This window comes from Homo sapiens, chromosome 18 (assembly GCF_000001405.40).
Source record: "Homo sapiens chromosome 18, GRCh38.p14 Primary Assembly".
In the NCBI taxonomy this organism is placed as follows: Eukaryota; Metazoa; Chordata; class Mammalia; order Primates; family Hominidae; genus Homo; species Homo sapiens.
Window position 1 is genome coordinate 25,043,839 of NC_000018.10, and position 18,085 is coordinate 25,061,923.

At 43.1% G+C, this 18,085-nt stretch overlaps 1 annotated feature.

The window, feature by feature from the left end:
- Nucleotides 4,065-4,645: an enhancer, noted in NCBI's record as "OCT4-NANOG hESC enhancer chr18:22627867-22628447 (GRCh37/hg19 assembly coordinates)". NCBI's record gives its function as "activates a minimal SCP1, AML or CMV promoter by ChIP-STARR-seq in naive H9 embryonic stem cells {active_cell/tissue: H9 hESC(naive)}" and the evidence as "EXISTENCE:reporter gene assay evidence [ECO:0000049][PMID:30033119]".

The window sequence follows — 18,085 nt, forward strand, 5'->3', positions numbered from 1 at the left end:
AATGTCACTTCTTTTCTGCAGAGAGGAATAAGTAAGAAGGTGAAGGGAAAGGTCAACTGTTCCCGTGCGACTATTACTCCCTCCTGTGAGTGGGGCTGAGTTTTTTTTGTTATGGAAATGAGAGGACCAGAATGAGTATTTGTCTCCAAGTTGTAATTTAAGAACACAAAGCTGGAGATCAGAAGGCATCAAGAATGACGAGACTTAGAAGGATTAAGACTAGGAAGCTGGACATATTCCCCCGGTGGGGCATGCTCTGGCTCTTCTGAATTAAATGTGGTGCTGGCTAGGGGAGGATTGTGGGGTGCCTGGAGCATTCGGTGGCAGTTCACACAACCAGACAGCCTCAGAACCATTCAGGCAGCTGGGACAATCAAAGGGACGAACTATTGGCAAGCAGGAAATAATCAGAGAACCAGGTCAATCAGGAGGCAGGCAAAATAGCACTGAGGAGGTCTGACATCAAGTAACAGGATGGAGCTTAGGTCAGGCTGGGCAGGAGACAGGCAGAAACACAATTGTGGAGAAACTGAAACCCTGTAAGGATACTCAAAGTGAAGCTCAGGAAGAACAGGGCAAGAGAAGGCTCTCTACAGCCTGCGCAACATAGTGAGACCTCATCTCTACAACAAATACAAAAATTGGCCAGGCGTGGTGGTGTACATCTGTGGTCCCAGCTACGCGGGAGGCTCAGGTGGGAGGATCGCTTGAGCCTGGGAGGTTGAGGCTGCAGTGAGCTACAGTTGTGCCACAGCACTCCAGCCTGGGCAACACAGCATGACCTTGTCTAAAAAAAAAAAAAGAGAGCGTGAAGGTGCTCTAAAAAAAACCTAGAGCATCAGTCAGAAAACAAGCCAGAAGACAGTTTTTAGCCCTGAGGCACCAGGTTTGAGGGTATTGCAACGGGACTGATCTGATACTATTAATAACTACAAGCACTAAGGAATTAAAGCTCTAAAATGTCTTAACACAGTTCCTGTAACCCTTGAAGGATTTAATAAACATTATTATTTTATTTTTTGATTTGATTACAATTTTGTTATTTGATTAAAAATAAATTTTATTATTATATTTATTATTTGATTAAAAAGCTGAAATTAGCTTGAGTACTAATTTTATTATTTGATTCTATTGATTTTATTTTTTCTTTGATTAAAAAGGTGAAATTAGCTTGAGTACTAAGTGACGGTTTTCTATTCAAAACCTATTTTGAATGGTGGACTCTTCACCCTTGACACCAAAGGGGTGATCAAATCTGGGTGAACCCAGATAACTTTTGGGCGCTGCTACATTCTGTATCCTTGTGAAATCTACCAAGAAATCTTTTTCTAGCTCTTACTGGCATTTGTTTGGCCATCCTCTCCATGCTCAGGAACCAAATCTTGCCGAAATTTATCTTAAATAGAGGTACCTTAAAGGCAGAAAATAAATAATCCTGAATTTTCATGCCCTGAAGCTGGATATGAGGAAGAGGCAAACCTTAATAAAATGTTTCCAGGGAGGATGGTGATAGTTCCTATCAGGTAAGCATCACCAATATTAATATCCCGTCTCACTGGGTTGTTTTAGAAATCAAACGTGATCATGTGTGTAAAATGCCTAGTGCAATGCTGGCACCCAGCGTGTGTTTATAAATGATTGATGACCTTTCATTTGTTTTAAACCTAAAATTTCTAGGACATACCCTATCACCTCCCTATCTCATTATTGCTACCACACACACACACAAAATATGCTCTGCCACCAGCACATTTAATGATTAGCTGATGTTACAAAGAATAAAAACTGGAATCTACATGATAGAATTGTTACGAAGATGAAATGATTTGTATATGTAAAGGGCTTAGAAGAAAGGACGGCTGACAAGCGGTAAGTGCTCTATGTAAGCGTTAGGTGCTGCTAGTAATAGTAGTAATAGTAGCATCAAACTTCCTCGTTTCTGTGGCTTTAGATCCTACCATACATGATTAAATCAAATCCCAGGTACATTCTGAACACGGTGAAAATTTAGGTTTAAATTTTAAACCTAAAATAGACTTACTACTACTAACTACAACGAAGTAGTAAGTTTATTTTAGGTTTAAAATTTAAATCTAAATTTTCCAGTGATGAATACTACTAATACAAGTCGTAGCAGTCATTGTCATAGTATTTTCTATCAGATGCCCTCTCTATTGCTCATTGCCCTGCGGAGCAGAAGGGTAGATTTCAGAGACGATTCAGGAAGTGAGAAGTTCACTCGTATTGGCAGGAATGGATCCTGCTATGCTCAATGCAGGAACCCACCCCTACATCACCCTCATGTAGTCTAAGACATCTCTCTGGCAACATATCTCATGCATAGTCCACTGCATTTGAACCATGTTCACAGCCATTCCTTTTCCTACATCTATGTACCATTTCAGACTTTAGATGTCATCTTTATGAGAAGTCAGGAGATGAAGAAGGAATCTGGGAGAATTGTATTTCGAGATATTAATTAAAGTGATTCTGGCTGGGCGCGGTGGCTCACGCCTGTAATCCCAGCACTTTGGGAGGCCGAGGCGGGTGGATCACAAGGTCAAGAGATCGAGACCAGCCTGGCCAACAAGGTGAAACCCCGTCTCTACTAAAAATACAAAAATTAGCCGGGCATGGTGTCAGGCACCTGTAGTCCCAGGTACTCGGGAGGCTGAGACAGGAGAATTGCTTGAACCCAGGAGGCAGAGGTTGCAGTGAGCCGAGATTGCGCCACTGCACTCCAGCCTGGCAACAGAGCGAGACTCCATCTAAAAAAAAAAAAAAAAAAAAAAAGGGATTCAGTGATTCTTTAGATGATTGCATGGGACGAGCTTTGCTAGACTGGTGTAAATCTAATTGTTATTTTTCCCCTCTACCTGGCAGATGGTTGCTCGTGAAAGTGATCAAGTCAATTAATAGGAAAATGACAAAGCTATCAGTTCCCTGCACCCTTTGATGTATGATGCTGAGACACCATGGATATGAATGTCTAGGCTTTCACCATTTAACCTTATTCGTGTAGAAGAATCTTGGCTCATGGCCCCAGAGTGGTGACATTTTACTAGCTCCATTAATTAGCATCATAGTTTGGTAATGGTTTAGGGTTCCCAGGGATGAAGCATGTACACAAAAGAACAAAGAAATTTAAATTAAGATCTGGAGATTCTTGTGGTTAACGTGCAGCTGTATGTTCCAATATCAATCGATGAAAACATTGTCAGATATTGTCATACTTTTGGAGCTAATGAGTCCTGGCTTTTTTTCCTTGCCTCTACTCTCAGTACCATCCCCAGAGGCAGGTTCCAGATGTGTCATCGTTGTAGGCAGGTCAGTCTGAGCTCGGGTAAAGATCAGTATTTAATTCCTTTTCCTATTTTTTGTTGACCTGGGATGACAAAAAATGAATGGGTTCATTTTTTGACTCACTGAACCCATCAGTCTCCCTTGCTGTAATCTGACTGATTCCTTCCTTCTCCCAGAATCCAGTCCCCTGTGTCCCATCATGTCCCCATTCTGATACTCCTATGGTCTTTGATCCCCAGGAGTTTGGTTGAGAAGTTCTCAAAGCTGCTGGCCTGTTGGTCTACCTGTCTGCATTGGCTGTGGCCAGTGTGTGGGCTCCTGTGGGGAACCCCTGTGTCCTCCTCAAGGACCAAAGTGTGCTCTTGGGCTGCACTTTGAAATTCAGGAATTTCCAGGTCCCTGGACATGATATCCAGGCAGACCAAACTTTGTCAGCAGGATCCACGCTGCCCAGAGTGTGGGTTGCATATTCGTTCATTAACAACACTTGTCCAGCACCCAGCGTGTACTAGCACTATGTGGGGTGCTAGCAATACAGCAGTGACAAGACAGCCACAGTCTCTTTCCTCTGTAGGGCTTTTGGTCCAGCTTGAAGATTAGGAGCCAGGTTCTGAACCCCCACCTACTCCTTATCCACACACCCTGTTCAGAATGTACCTGGGATTTGATTTAATCATGTACGGTACGACCCAAGGACACAGAAATGAAGAAGTTTCTACTCACAGATCCTGAGAAACAGGAGACAAGGTGCACCACACAGGCCACATGGGGAAGCACCAGGGTTGGTCAGGAGCAGATGGAGCGAGGAGAAAACATGGACAATAATTTATTATGTTTTTTCGGGGAGAATAGGTGAGGCCAAGTAAGCAGGTTAAGCAGGTTTAGCACTGGCTAGTTTGAATAATTGTAGTGGGTTCAGGGGTGCTGGGGCTGTTCCTAGTTGCCGGGTACTAGGCCCCGGGGTGATTAGGGCAGGTGGAATGTGGTCTCGAATATAGAGTCCCGTGGGAGCCCAATAGAGGAGCTGGAGGAGGATGGGCTCCAATCGGTTGGTTTGCATATGAAAGGCGCGCTCCAGGTGAGTCATTTACTATCTCCAGGAATTTTAGCTAGCTCCGGGAGAGGCAGGCTCTCCAGGGTCAGCAAGGCCCCGGATGTCAAAGCATCAGAATTAAAAGACAAGCTTAATACACACTGCTTTGATGACTCTGAAAATGTGACATGAACTGTGTCCTCTGAACCAAAAGACTTATTCTGATAATTTCAAAAAAAATGACAGAAATTCATCTTTATTAGCACACAGGCTGTTTCTTCTGTTTGGGCTTGACAACCTAAAAAACTCCTACTGATTGTTCCTCTGCTAGCTCCTCTGTGAAGCCCTGGCTGAAGTCATGTGTACAGGTGAACACCTGGCTCCTGGACTCCCACAGCACCTTTTAAATACTCTGAAGAAGGGGCTGGATGCAGTGGCTCTTGTCTGTAATCCCAGTATTTTGGGAGGCTGAGGTGGGAGGATTGCTTGAGCCCAGCATTTCAAGACCAGCCTGGGCAACATAGAGAGACCCCATCTCTACTAAAAAAATACAAAAAATTACCCCAGCATGGCAGTGCATGCCTGTAATATCAGCTAATCAGGAGGCTGAGATAGGAGGATTGCTTGAGCCTGGGAGGCTGAGGCTGCAGTGAGCCATGATTGTGTCACTGTACTCCAGCCTGGGTGACAGAGTGAGAACCTGTCTGAAAAAACAAACAATAAACCAAAAATAGTCCCAAGAAGCGTTTCTCATGTGGGTTATTGCTACGTGTTGGTTTCTCTATCTCCTGATTATTTGTTGAACTCATTGGATGAAAAGATGGTATCTTGATTCAATTCTGTGACACTAGTGGCATGCATGACACCTGATAGAAACATTGATGGTAAATAAAATTAACAATTGTTCTTTAAACTCTTTATTGCTCCTAGGCTGCAAGAGCTTTCAGGAACATTCTGCTAATGAATAGGAACTAAAATTTATTGAGCGTGGATGGTGCAGCAGACATTGTGCTGAATGATTCACATCCATGTGCAACTTGGCCTTCACAGCAGCCTTATGTGATGGAGGCCTTTCCCCAATGTTAGAGATTAAGAAATTAAAGTCCAGGGAGTTTGTTCCACGATTAAAGTCACACAGTGCTGAAGAACCCAGGACCCCACCCCATTGCCTCCCAGTCACCACTACCTCTTGAGCCAACCCCAACTCAGCCCCCCTCAGAGCACACATGGCCCTGAACCTCCTTTCTCTGTGAAAAAAGTCCCCCAAAGACTTTGTACATTGGCTCTGCCCACAGGGGAACATCCACTTAGGTGCACTTAGGGAAAAAGCCACCAAGTGAATTATGCAGTGGGGACCATTACCTCTATACTCCCACTGATAACTAAAGCATATGGTTGCTTAAACCGAGGTATTCCCTTTGGCTTATTACATTCATTACTTCCTGTCAGTTAGAGTTCACCTGCTTCAATTTTACTAGAATGTGTGAATTGCATATTTCATACATTACTTAGCAGGAACCCACCCCAAGTCAATTTTTTGCACAGAATGACAGTTATAGGGAAGTTCAGAGATCTTATTTGGTCTTAGAAACGATTATCTTTCTCAATGAAATGCCGAATAAGGTGCTAATTAATAAATGTTTAACGTTATTCTGTATGTAGAGACATAATTCTACATCAGTCTTTGATACATAAATATGTATCACACAGATATACATATTCTCATCCTTTTTCTCATATAATCTCTGATTTTGAATCATGCCCACACTCAGCCTTGAGACCCTGGGCAAATACCTTTCTGAACCCCACTTTCCTCATTTGTAAAACGCAGATGTCAAGTGTTCCGAGGTTGTTGTGTGGATTTAGGGAGACACCTATGTAGTTCAGGTTCGAAATTTATTATTTTAACAACTAGCCCCAGAACTTCTCATTTGAAATTCAGGGAGAGAACTTTGTACAAAAGTATGTTGTTAAGCCTCTTAGGGTGGCGACTCCGAGGGTAAACATGTCTGCAAAAGCCAAAGCAACGAAAGGAAGCCTTGAAAATACTGTCCACGAGCAAAGTGGAAGGACTCACTTTTGCTCAAATGTGGGAAGAGGAGGGTGGTTGGGAAGGGTGCGGGAGAGAGGCCATGGGGATGGTGTGAGGTCGGGCACCCAGTGGGGAGCAGCTGTGACCTCCCCAGCCACTGACTGAGGGACTCATTAGGCGCTAGTGCTAAACATTGCACTAACTAAACGTTGTTCTGTCTCCCAGCTCACACGCTCCATGCATCTATTCTTCTCAGGAACGCTTCTGCAGGGGTGCCGTTTGCTGTGGGTAATCCAGATGCCAGCCGTTCCCTTATTCTGTGGCTCCTGCTTATGTGACTATGTTTTCACTGAGTGTCAGGCCAGTCAGGCCAGAGACAGGACTCGTCCCCTGTTTTACGCTCCCCATAAAGAGTGAGCTCACTCAGAAGCATTAGCAAGCACTGCGTCTTGACTGAAGATTTTGTGGAGAAGATAGCAGAAGAGGTTTAACGTGGCCCAATCCTCAACAATAACCAAATCAAACCAAACCAAAGCAACAACAACAACACAAACTTAGGAATATGCTCTAGACCCGTCTCATCTCCAATGTCCCAACTTAGCAGCTACACCACCTGTCGCCTACTGTGGTCCTTTCTCCTCCAGAGCTCAGGGTTGCTGGCTTCTTCTCCGGAAAAATGCAAACTCCTTTCCTTAGTTTATGTTCAGCAATTTAGGCAGCATCTTTTGTTATAGGAGCAGACCCTTGGACCCTCACTCTCCAACCCAAGCAATTTATCAGAATATTTCTTGCTCTATGGCTCATGTCTGTAATCCCAGCACTTTGGGAGGCCAAGACATGGGGGGATCACTTGAGTTCAGGAGTTCGAGACCAGCCTGGCCAACATGGAGAAACCTCGCCTCTACTAAAAATACAAAAACTAGTTGGATGTGGTGGCGCATGCCTGTAATCCCAGCTACTTGGGAGGCTGAGGCAGGAGAATTGCTTGAACCTGGGAGGTGGAGGTTGCAGTGAGCCGAGATCGCGTCACTGCACTCCAGCCTTGGCGACAGAGTGAGACTATCTATCTATCTATCTATCTATCCATCTATCTATCTATCTCTGTATATATAAATATTAATAGATATAGATATATAGATATTTCTTGCTCCAAAATGCATCATTCTCTGGTACATTGATGTTTTCCCCAACAGATTCTCTATGGAAATTTAAAAATGGAGCTGATGTTTGTGTCTTTGGTACTGTGCAGAGCAGAGGCAGCCTGTGTTGGAGTGCGATGCAGGTGTCAGGCGGGGCCATGCTGGAGTGAGAATGGAAGACCCACCTTCTTCCCACCCTAGATTCCCTGACCATGGGAGCAGGGAAGAGGGTCAGATTTGAACTTCCATTGAGCATGGAGTAGTAAAAGTGATCTTCTTACCATCTCAAGAGCTGAGAATCTAATTTGGTATGACAGCAGTACACAACACCTGGACCACAGTAAGTGCTCAATAAAAGTTAGTGGATCACGAGGTCAGCAGTTCAAGATCAGCCTGATCAACATGGTGAAACCTCATCTCTACTAAAAAGACAAAAGAAAAAAAAATCAGGCAGGCGAGGTGGCGTGCGCCTGTAATCTCAGCTACTCAGGAGGCTGAGGCAGGAGAATCACTTGAACCCAGGAGGCAGAGGTTGCAGTGAGCCAAGATCACGCCATTGCACTCTAACCTGGGTGACAGAGCGAGACTCTGTCTCAAAAAAAAAAAAAAAAAAAAAAAAGAAAAACACCTCCTCTTCCACCTGCCCCAACCATGATTAACATTGCCTTTGCTCCCCACAACCCTGACCAAAATTAGCCAAGACACTAAGAAACCAGGACTGTGATCAAAGAAACTTCCTTGGGCTGCGATTGACATATACAGAAAGCCTTGGGTACATTTTGGGTACTTGGGTACTCACCCTCTTGTTTCCTTGAGCTAAATGGCATGATGATTCTCAACAGAACCCTCACAATTCTCTCTGGGAAGTTCGAATGTCTCCTGTAATTTAGCTAAACAGCTTCTAGGTATCACAGAGAAATTCGTTGCTCATGAAAGGAAAATGGATCCCCACGCTTTGTTCTGGAGACATTTTAATATCCATCTGGGTCTCCTTGGGGCCACGTGGCTCGTTCTGTTCCCCAAACTGCAGTGAAGGGACAGTCAACACGTGAGTTCTCATGCCATGCTGCTCCTCTGTTTACTGCTCCTTTATTTACATAAGTAGAAATTCAACATCCTAACATGTTTTGCAAGCTGTCATGACATGAGAAGTTAGTAATCTGCTATATTTTGCTTGCTAACATATTTTTGACATATTTTAGCTTTTGATTATAAGATTGCGTCTTTGCCTGCTACCATCTGTCTCGATTCAATGGAACTCTGGCATTTACGAAAACAGTAGGGTGTAGTATTTCTTATAGACTTGAACTCTACCAGAAACATGCTATTTCCAGTCTTAACCAATATGTCCTGCTTTCACACGCAAAGTCTGAAATGTTTGATATCTTGCAAGATCTGCCAGGAATAAGGAACATATCTTCACATCCAATTTGGCTGGGATGAGAAATACATTAATAAGGGGAAGGGAGCAGTCTCCAGCTTCTAAACAGAGGTGGCCTTTGATGTGGTTTATATCCTCTTGACTATGCTTATCCTTTTATCAGCATGATTAAGATCTTCCATGGAAATACATCTTCTTTTAGACTTTTAATCTCCCAGCAGCCAACATTCTTGAGACGTATTTTCCAGTGTGAAATGGTTATCTGCCAACATTTGACAATCAGGCATTTTCCTCCATGATGTCCTTTTTTTGTTCCTATCTTTACTCATTAGGGCAAATTACCTCTGGTTTGGCCCAAAGATTAGCTTGGTCCCTGTCTCTGCTGACAGCAGCAGAAGGACTGTGCAACACGGAGAAATGTGACATTGTATTAAAACAATGTGTTGGGGGAAAGCCCCCCAAAAATGCACAGGCCTAACATGCATTTATTCAACACCAAGCTTAAATGAGTTTATTATGCTCCTGGATTACACCCCATAGGCCAAGAAGCTGTCAACTATTGACATTTTCTTTTCTCTCCGTGTTCTGTGTTGAGTGTAAATATATTTGTCATGGGAATATATCGTATGTTTGGTTCAGTATATGCTCATTTCATCAGAAGGAAAGCTCTTATTATCTGTAATCACAGTCAACATCTTTGTTGCTTTAAGGAAAGAATGGGCTACAGCTTGAATTTACATATAGATCTGGTACCTTTCCAGATGCAGTTTTGCACGCTGTTTTAACCTGCATTTTGAATATGTGTAGCGTGATCTGTTTCTAGTGCAAAACTTCGTTCGTGGTAGAGAAATACTTTTAGTCAGTTGGGTGTGGACCACATCTAGTTGATTTTCTGCCTTGCAGCATGCTGCTGACTGTTCAGGAGCAGCCTGGTGCTAAATACATCAACTGAAATCACCATCAATGAAGAGGCCAAAGAGGAAGGCATTATGACTTCCAATTTCAACATCTTATGGCTACAAATCAAGTCCAAGCTGACTCGGCTCCCACATGCTCTTCCTTATCTGGTTTATGAGGATGGTGGCAACTGTTGAACAAGGAGAAAAGACTGAGTCTCTGGATAATTGTAATTGCGAATTTCTGAAGAGCAGGGATCTTGTCATACCTCTTTATCCTTTGTACCTGGCTCAGGGTAGGCAAATAACCCATGTGTGTTGAACTAAGATAAACTGAGGACCATATTTAAGCTAGTAGTTGAACAATGTGTGCTTTATTGAACTTCTATTAGGTGAAATCACCAAGGATAGTTTAAAAAATAAAACCAAATAGCAGATTCCTCATCCTTGAAAAAGTTGTAATCCAGTTTGAGGATAAATTAGTTTTGTTTCATTGAAGACAAACTAGTTTTGAAGGAAATCGTGAATTGTTAAGCTAGGTTGTAAGTGCAACAGGCATTCAGAGAAAGGAGATAATGTGGCAAATCAGATTTTATGAAGGAAGAGGGGCTTTTTGTGGGACCAGAAGACTGAGCAGGACTGGGTAACTGGAGAGGAGGAAGGAAACGTTTTGCACAGAGTGGGAATTGATAGAAGTGAACAATAAAAAAAGGAATGAATTAGATGTGCAAGGGAGGATGATGGAGCATGATGATGGGGCTTGATTGGCTTAAATAGGCTGAAGCAGGATAAGGTATAAGAATGGTGTACAGAGTTGGACAAAGTTAAGACACTCTGGAAAGTCAAAGGAATATTCAACTTTTGGTGGAAGATGAAGACCATTATTCCAGGCTCTCATAGGTAGGAGACATGATAAAAAGTGTAGTTTTTAGAAAGATTACAAGGGAGTGGTACAGAGGAATCAGAGGGGTAAGAGGTTACAACAGAGAAAAGGCAGTGATTCTAAAATGGACAGAAAAAGAGCTTGGATTAAATAAAGACAATAATAGTTAAAAACTTTTCTATATAGGTCATCTAATATGTTTCCGGTATTTCTAGCCACTGATGATAATATCAGCAAAATCCTACCATAATTTATAAGTATACTTATCCTTAAATTAAAGAAGGGAAAAGGGGCCTTAGAAAAAGCAAAGTAAGTTGGTCTAGGCTACATAGTTAGTAAGTGGCAGGAAAAGATCCAAACTTCATTTAAACTGCATCCTTTTTCACTACATTACTCTGGGAGTCATAGGTATTTATTAAATGAGTAAATGATGTGAAATAAGTGTTTTATAAAGATACATGGTGGCCATACACAAGGGGGATAAGGGGAGAAAGACCAGAAGCAGGTAAATGATAAGGGTGCCCCTAAGGTCCTATCACTGGAAATGGAAAGGAAAGAATAAACATAGAAATATTGCCGAATAAGAACATGGGAGTTGGTGTCTGATGGACTAAATGATTGAAAAAGGAGAAGAAGAACTGGGAAAGGAAAAAAACAAAACCAAACAAAACAAAACAAAAAAAAAAACAAAGACTGGGTGGCTACTGGTGACCTTGGCCAATTCATTTTCAGGAAGAGGATATTGCTGATTGATGGAAGCCAGCCTGCAGGTGAGTCAGAAGCGAGTCAGTGGTCAGGAAATGGAGGATGTGGGGAAGACCACAAATTTGAGAAATTTGGAAGAAAATGAAGGAAATAAATAAAACAGTCCTGTAAAGATGCTTCACGGTTAAGCAAAAATATTTTTTTTTTAAAGAAGTGAAGAAACCTGTGCGCATTTGAAGACAGAAGGAAAGTATGCAGAGGGAAGGAATATATTGAAGGAACTAGAGAAAGAGGGACCTCTGTACATTGAGGGGGTGAAAGCAGCAGGGAGGGGACAGGTTAGAATGGTAGGACTGCCAACAGAACTCTGCACGATGAGGAGAATGTTCTGTATCTGTGCCATTCCATATGGAAGCCATAAACCTCATGTGGCAACCAAAGACATGAAATGTTCCTAGTGAGACTGAGGAACTCGATTTTTTATTTTGCTTAATTTAAATTAATTTAAATAGCCACATTTTTAAATAGCCAGTGGCTACCATACTGGATGATGTAAGAGCCTCAGGGAACCAAAGGCTTTGGGACTAGACTCTTCCACTGACTCAGAAAAAGAAAGCAGAGAAGGAGAGAAGCCAGTGCTGTTCATACTCGGGAGAGGAAAAATGTGTTTGCCCCTCCCAGGTGACCTTGACTTTTTGGTTATACCTTGGTGATAGCCACATTATTAGATCATTAGATGAGGAGAGATCTTTGAAAATTCACATCCCCATGTGGACGTTGTGGTCTGAATCGTACTGTCTGAACCAACCATATGAGTTGAAGAATGGCCAAGTCTCACATGTCACAGCGCATCACCCTCAGTCTGTCTGCAGCCCTTGAGCAAGAGCCCCTTGTTCATGGAACAGAGATGGACAGGACTCTGGTAGGTTCCTTGGGATGAAGGTCATTTTGGAATGGGGCTTTCCAGTTTCTGAGAAGATATTGCTCACAATAAAGCCATCCTCTGATTTTCTATCCTGCATTCTGCTCCCACATCTCACCGTTACTTTGGATCTAGGCATTTTAAAGCCAAAAAGAGGTGATTCCCCTCAGAGGGATTTTTCTTAGACTTAGTTGACGTTTTCTTGAAGAATTTCCCACACTGAGAAATGAGTGTATGTTCTTCTCCGTATTCTGCAGGTACACAAAGAGAGAGCCCGAAATCAACATCCGCGGTTGCCCTGAGATAGCATCACCCATCGTTCCGCCGGTGCGCCCTCCCTGAGATGGTGGCGTGTGTTGTTTGGGCTGTTTTTCATAGCCGCCGCAGCTGGGAATTCAAGATGCTATACTTAGGCAGAAGTCCATGAAGGAATTAATTGATATGAGCCAGAAGTTGATTGCCATTTAAGTACTCAGCCTCCACCATTGCCAAGTTTCCCTCTTTGCAGAAAGAACTGAGCTTGCCTGCAAACTGGCTCATTCAGGATGTGAGCACAAGATGGAATTCAACCTTTAATATGCTGCAACACCTGCTTGGAAATAAAGGGGCTCTGTGCTTTTCCCCCCAAGGAGTTGACAGCTGACTTCATTACAGAGGAATCTGGCAGAGATGGTTGAGGCTACTCCGCAGTCTCAGGGGGCACTCACCCAGGAATGCAGTGCCAACCAGACCTGAGCTTTGGGACTCTGCCAGGAACCCATGCTGGCCTATTTTAGCCTAAATCATCCCTCTTTCTTGAACTCCAGTTTTCAGTGTCTTTGGTAGGCGCTTCCTCCACACAAGGGAGATGGTAAGTGTCTCTGGCCTGCTGAAGTTAAATGGAGAAGCATTTGCAGGTGCTCTATAATGGGATCTGGATTTCCAGGCTTCCTTTCTCAAGAGTTCTGCAGTGTTGCACCCCAACAGGCACAAACAGACACAAAGTCAGGCTGCCATGCTCTATAGAGCAGAACTTGAGGGTTCACTGGAGTCCTTGTCCATGTTCTGGAACTGACCCAGAGCTGCTCTGGGAAGCCTAGCCCAGCCTGTGGGGGTCCCTAGAGGGTCTCTGGCGCTGTGACCTTCCATTGTGGCTGGAACACTGGTTATGCTTGTCAGTTTTCCAAGTAGAATGTCAACCTTGTCACCCATTTACATGATTTCTAAATCGTATTAATCTGGCCCCCATTCACAACACAGAATTTAGCATTATCTGACTTGCATCAGAGAATATTAACTTTCTATCATTTATTATCCTTTATCACTCCCCAAAATCTGTCTGAAATCTAAAGATCCAGAAATAGGGGCAGCCTCATATAGAACACATCCATTCACTGGATTACTCAGTTCAGCATTAAGCAATGTGAATATGAAGGTCACAGAGCAGCTTCAAAACTGCACATAATGCTAATTGAAAACAAAGCATGATTTGAACTTTTATATACAAAAGTCATATCGTGCTTTCAAAACAAACATTTAAAATGGGCTGGAATGAGAATCAGAAAAACAAAACAAAACAAAACAAAACAGTTGATGCCAGAGGTCAAAACTGGCAATCCAAGATTCAAGCCTGGCCTGAAAGTGTGTCTCATATGGCCGACACAGTGGGGGCCAGCAGAGTTCGAATTAAAAAAAAATGGAATAGGTTGCCAACATTTGGAAATTGGAACATAGCATGTAGCCACCCGGATTGCTGGCTCCTCGGAAGGCACGGGGCAATCTGGCACTGGGAGTCTGTTTCCCTGCAGGCAACAGTGGGGCAGAGGAGGGGGCATTTGCTCTCCAGTTTGCTAGAGGCCCCTGCGCCAGTTTTCTCACTTGCTGAGTCTATAATCCCTGGACCAGGTGTAAGGGTGATGGGATTCTGGGTCATTTCTTCCTTTCTCCCTCTTCACAGACTTGCTATTGGTTATTATGTTACTTCAGGGTTAAAATAATCATGAAATGCCCCGTTGCAAAAATCAATGTTGAGGGAAGAGACTAAGGCCCACACCACTTCTCTACTCCTTGAACGTTCTTGTCTAATTTCTAGTCTTGAGTCAGGTACACTCACCTGAGAATGTCAGCTACAGAACCCAGTGGTTCTCAAACTTGGCCCCCTTAGAATCAGCTGAGGAGTTTCTGATGTCGAAGTTGTGCTCTAGACCAGTGGTCTTCAACTTTTTGGCACAAGGGACTGGTTTCGTGGAAGACAATTTTTCCATGGACCAGGGTCACCGGTGGATGGTTTTGGGATGATTCAAGTGCTTTACATTTATTGTGTACTTTATTATTATTACATTGTAATATATAATGAAATAATTATACAACTCACCATAATAAAAAAATCAGTAGGAGGCCTGAGCTTGTTTTCCTGAAACTAGATGGTCCCATCTGGGGGTGATGGGAGACAATGGCAAATCATCAGGCATTTGATTCTTATAAGGAGCCCTCAACCTAGATCCCTTGCATGCACAGTATAGGGTTTGTGCTCCTATGAGAATCTAAGGCTGCCACTGATCTGACAGGAGGCGGAGCTCAGGCGGTCATGTGAGTGACGGGGAGTGGCTGTAAATACAGATGAAGCTTGGCTCTGCTCCCTTGCCTGCCACTCACTTCCTGCTGTGTAGCCTGGTTCCTAACAGGCCACACAGACCCATAATGGTCTGTGGTCCTGGGATTGGCGACCCCTGCTTGGGACCAATTAAGTCAGGATCTCTGGGGTGGGACTCAGGCAATGGATGTTTTTAAAGTTCCCCAGGTCGTTCCAATGTAAAGAAGTTTGGGCCATTGCAAATCATGTACAACTTTGCATTACAGCAATTTCTCAACCTCTGTACTATTGACATTTCGGGCCAGATAATTCATTGTTGTGCGGACCTGTCCTGTGTACTGAGTTTGGCAGCATATTTGGTTGTACCCATAGATGCAGTAGCATTTCTCCAGATAAGAAAACACTGTATTAAGTAATAAAATTATGGTCAGGAATAGTGGCTATTATATTGGTCCCCTACCCATCTAGAAGGCCTTGGAGAAATTTCTTTTGGGATTAAGTGCTAGGGAAGCATTTTCTCTCTCGAGGAACTGATATATTCCTTCCTTTCTGGATGTTTTCCCCCCCTCTACTACCAGGAAGCTCCAAGTCAATGCTAAAACGCACTCAAAATCGAAACTGAAGCATAAAACAAGGCAACTACTGTAGTGTATTTTCTCCCCTCTGACTTCACATGATGCTGATTTTCCTATTAATGTTTTGTTCATCTTTAAGTTGCTTTTTTATATCCTTAGGGAAGGAGTTAGGATGTAAATATCAACAAGGTAACAAGCCAATGAGGGGAATGACTGCTCCAAGCACTGTTCAGCATTTATGACCCAAAGAACGGTTGGTTTTAAGGAGGAAGTACCTGCTAAGTAGGAACTACCTCCTAATTACTGGAGGATCAACCAGTTTTATGGAGCAAATAATGGTCAACTCCTGCAGCCTCTTGGCTTTGTATGGAAAGAGGCTGAACTGTGTCTGTGCTGAAGGAGCCCGATGCCCAGTCGTGTGGAGGCTTCTAGGGAGAATGGCGAACACAGCCTCTGATGCGTCCTAAGAATTCCAACTCCTGGTGTTTATACTAGAGTCTGGGAAGTCTCTGAGAGGCAATGTTGTTAAAGGCATCTTGGGATACATCCCTGGGTTGACACATTACCTGCTTTCTGTAAATACAGAGCAGCTTACCTTTAGTAAAATATAACTCACTCATTAATAATCAGACATTTTAAAGCTTTTAAAAAAATCATTACTAAGCATGACTATTTCATTCTAAATGCAAAATCCTGAATGGACCAGAGATCTTAATTTTTAAAAAATATAGCTGAGTATTTTAATTATAGATGTACTTGCATATTCTCAGCATACTTCATTATTTATGTAGCTGGTGAAAAAGCTTTTTAATTAAATAGCGTGCTGGCAATCCATTGTGAAATGTATAGATGCAGGTTTTCCTAGCATTATGAAGCTGAATACAGATGTTTGCCAACTTACGATGGATTTAGCCGGATGTAACCCCATTGTAACTTGAGGAGCTACTGAATGTGTATTACTTTTGCACCGTGATAAAGTAAGCTGGGCCAGGCGCAGTGGCTCACGCCTGTAATCCCAGCACTTTGGGAGGCTGAGGCGGGTGGATCACGTGGTCACGAGTTTGAAACCAGCTTCGCCAACATAGTGAAACCCCGTCTCTACTAAAAATACAAAAAATTAGCTGGGCATGGTGGGCGCCTGTAATCCCAGCTACTTGGGAGGCTGAGGCAGGAGAATCGCTTGAAGCCGGGAGGCGGTGGTTGCAGTGAGCTGAGATCGTGCCACTGCACTCCAACCTGGGTGACAATGCGAGACTCCATCTCAAAAAAAAAAAAAAAACCAAAACAAAACTGTAAGCTGAACCATTGTAAGTTGGGAACCATCTGCACACACGCACACACACACACACAACATTCTGGTGAGCACACATACTTTAATCACTATAAAATACTTGTTTCTGAATGATCTTAAAATTTGACCAAACTGTTTTTATATTGCTAACATAATAGGGTAATTTGCCACCACTCCACTTGATTGCTTATGTTTAATGTATTCAACTAATTTGGAAACATGGTAGGGTAGTGGTTCTCAACGTGTGGTCCCCATACCAGCAATACCAGCATCACCTGGGAACTCCTTAGGCAGTTTTGAGCCCCACCCCAGGCCGACTGAATCAGCAGCTCTGGGAGTTGGGCCCAGCACCCCAGGATGTACCAAGCTCTCTAGGTGATCCTGGAACAGGTTAAGGCTCGAGAGCCATGGGATGGGGATTAACTGTGGTGCTGGTAATCTTGGTTTCATCAATGGTTCTCCTGGTGACACGTGGTCACAACAAAGGCAACTGGTCCCTGCTTTTAGTTCCCCACCAAAAAAGTGCTGTGAGGATTCTTGTTTGTTTAAGGTTCAAAGATCTCAGAGCTTAGAAGAGGTCAAAAGACTCACAGTGGCTTAAATATTTTCAGCATAGTTTGCATGAAGGTTGCCCATGAATACCAGGTCTTTACTTACCAATTTTGACTAAACGTGAATATCAGGGTTCACGTTACACATAGCAATTCTTTTCTTCTTTCAAAAAACAAAAAGAAGCTCTGAAATTAGAGCTCTTACTTATTGACCGTTGGATGGCAGGCTGTAGTGGAGGCAACCTTCCAGAGATGCCCCATGCCTGGGTGAAGGCTGATGACCAGGTTCTGTTACCTTCCCGGGCTGGAGGAACCAAGGCTGGGAGGTAAAGGAACTCCCATCGGGAGGCAGTGCCAGAACTACAACTAACAACCATCTGACTCCTTGCTCTGTGCTTTGTCTTCTGAATGAACAATGCTGCTTCTTAAGTACACATAAGCCAAACTGCCTCTCAAATTGCAGCCATCTACTTTGAGTTCAGATTTGCACAGCATGACATGAATTGGGCTGCAAATTATGCAGAAAACAGCCATCACATCCATCTGTGATGTCAGAATCCTCAAGTACAATGTGACCTGTTAGTATGTAACAGAGTAGAAGGATACTGTGTCTGATTCCTTCCCTATGAAGAGTGATGAATATCCTTCCAGATGCATTTGGCCCAGTGTGAAAAGGTTAAATATGATTGAGGTAATGCCTGTGATATGCTCAAGAGCAGATTTCATATCCAAGGGTGCAGGCAATTAGATTTTTTTTAATGGTGTAGTAACTAGAGAAAGAAAACACACAAATACACTCATA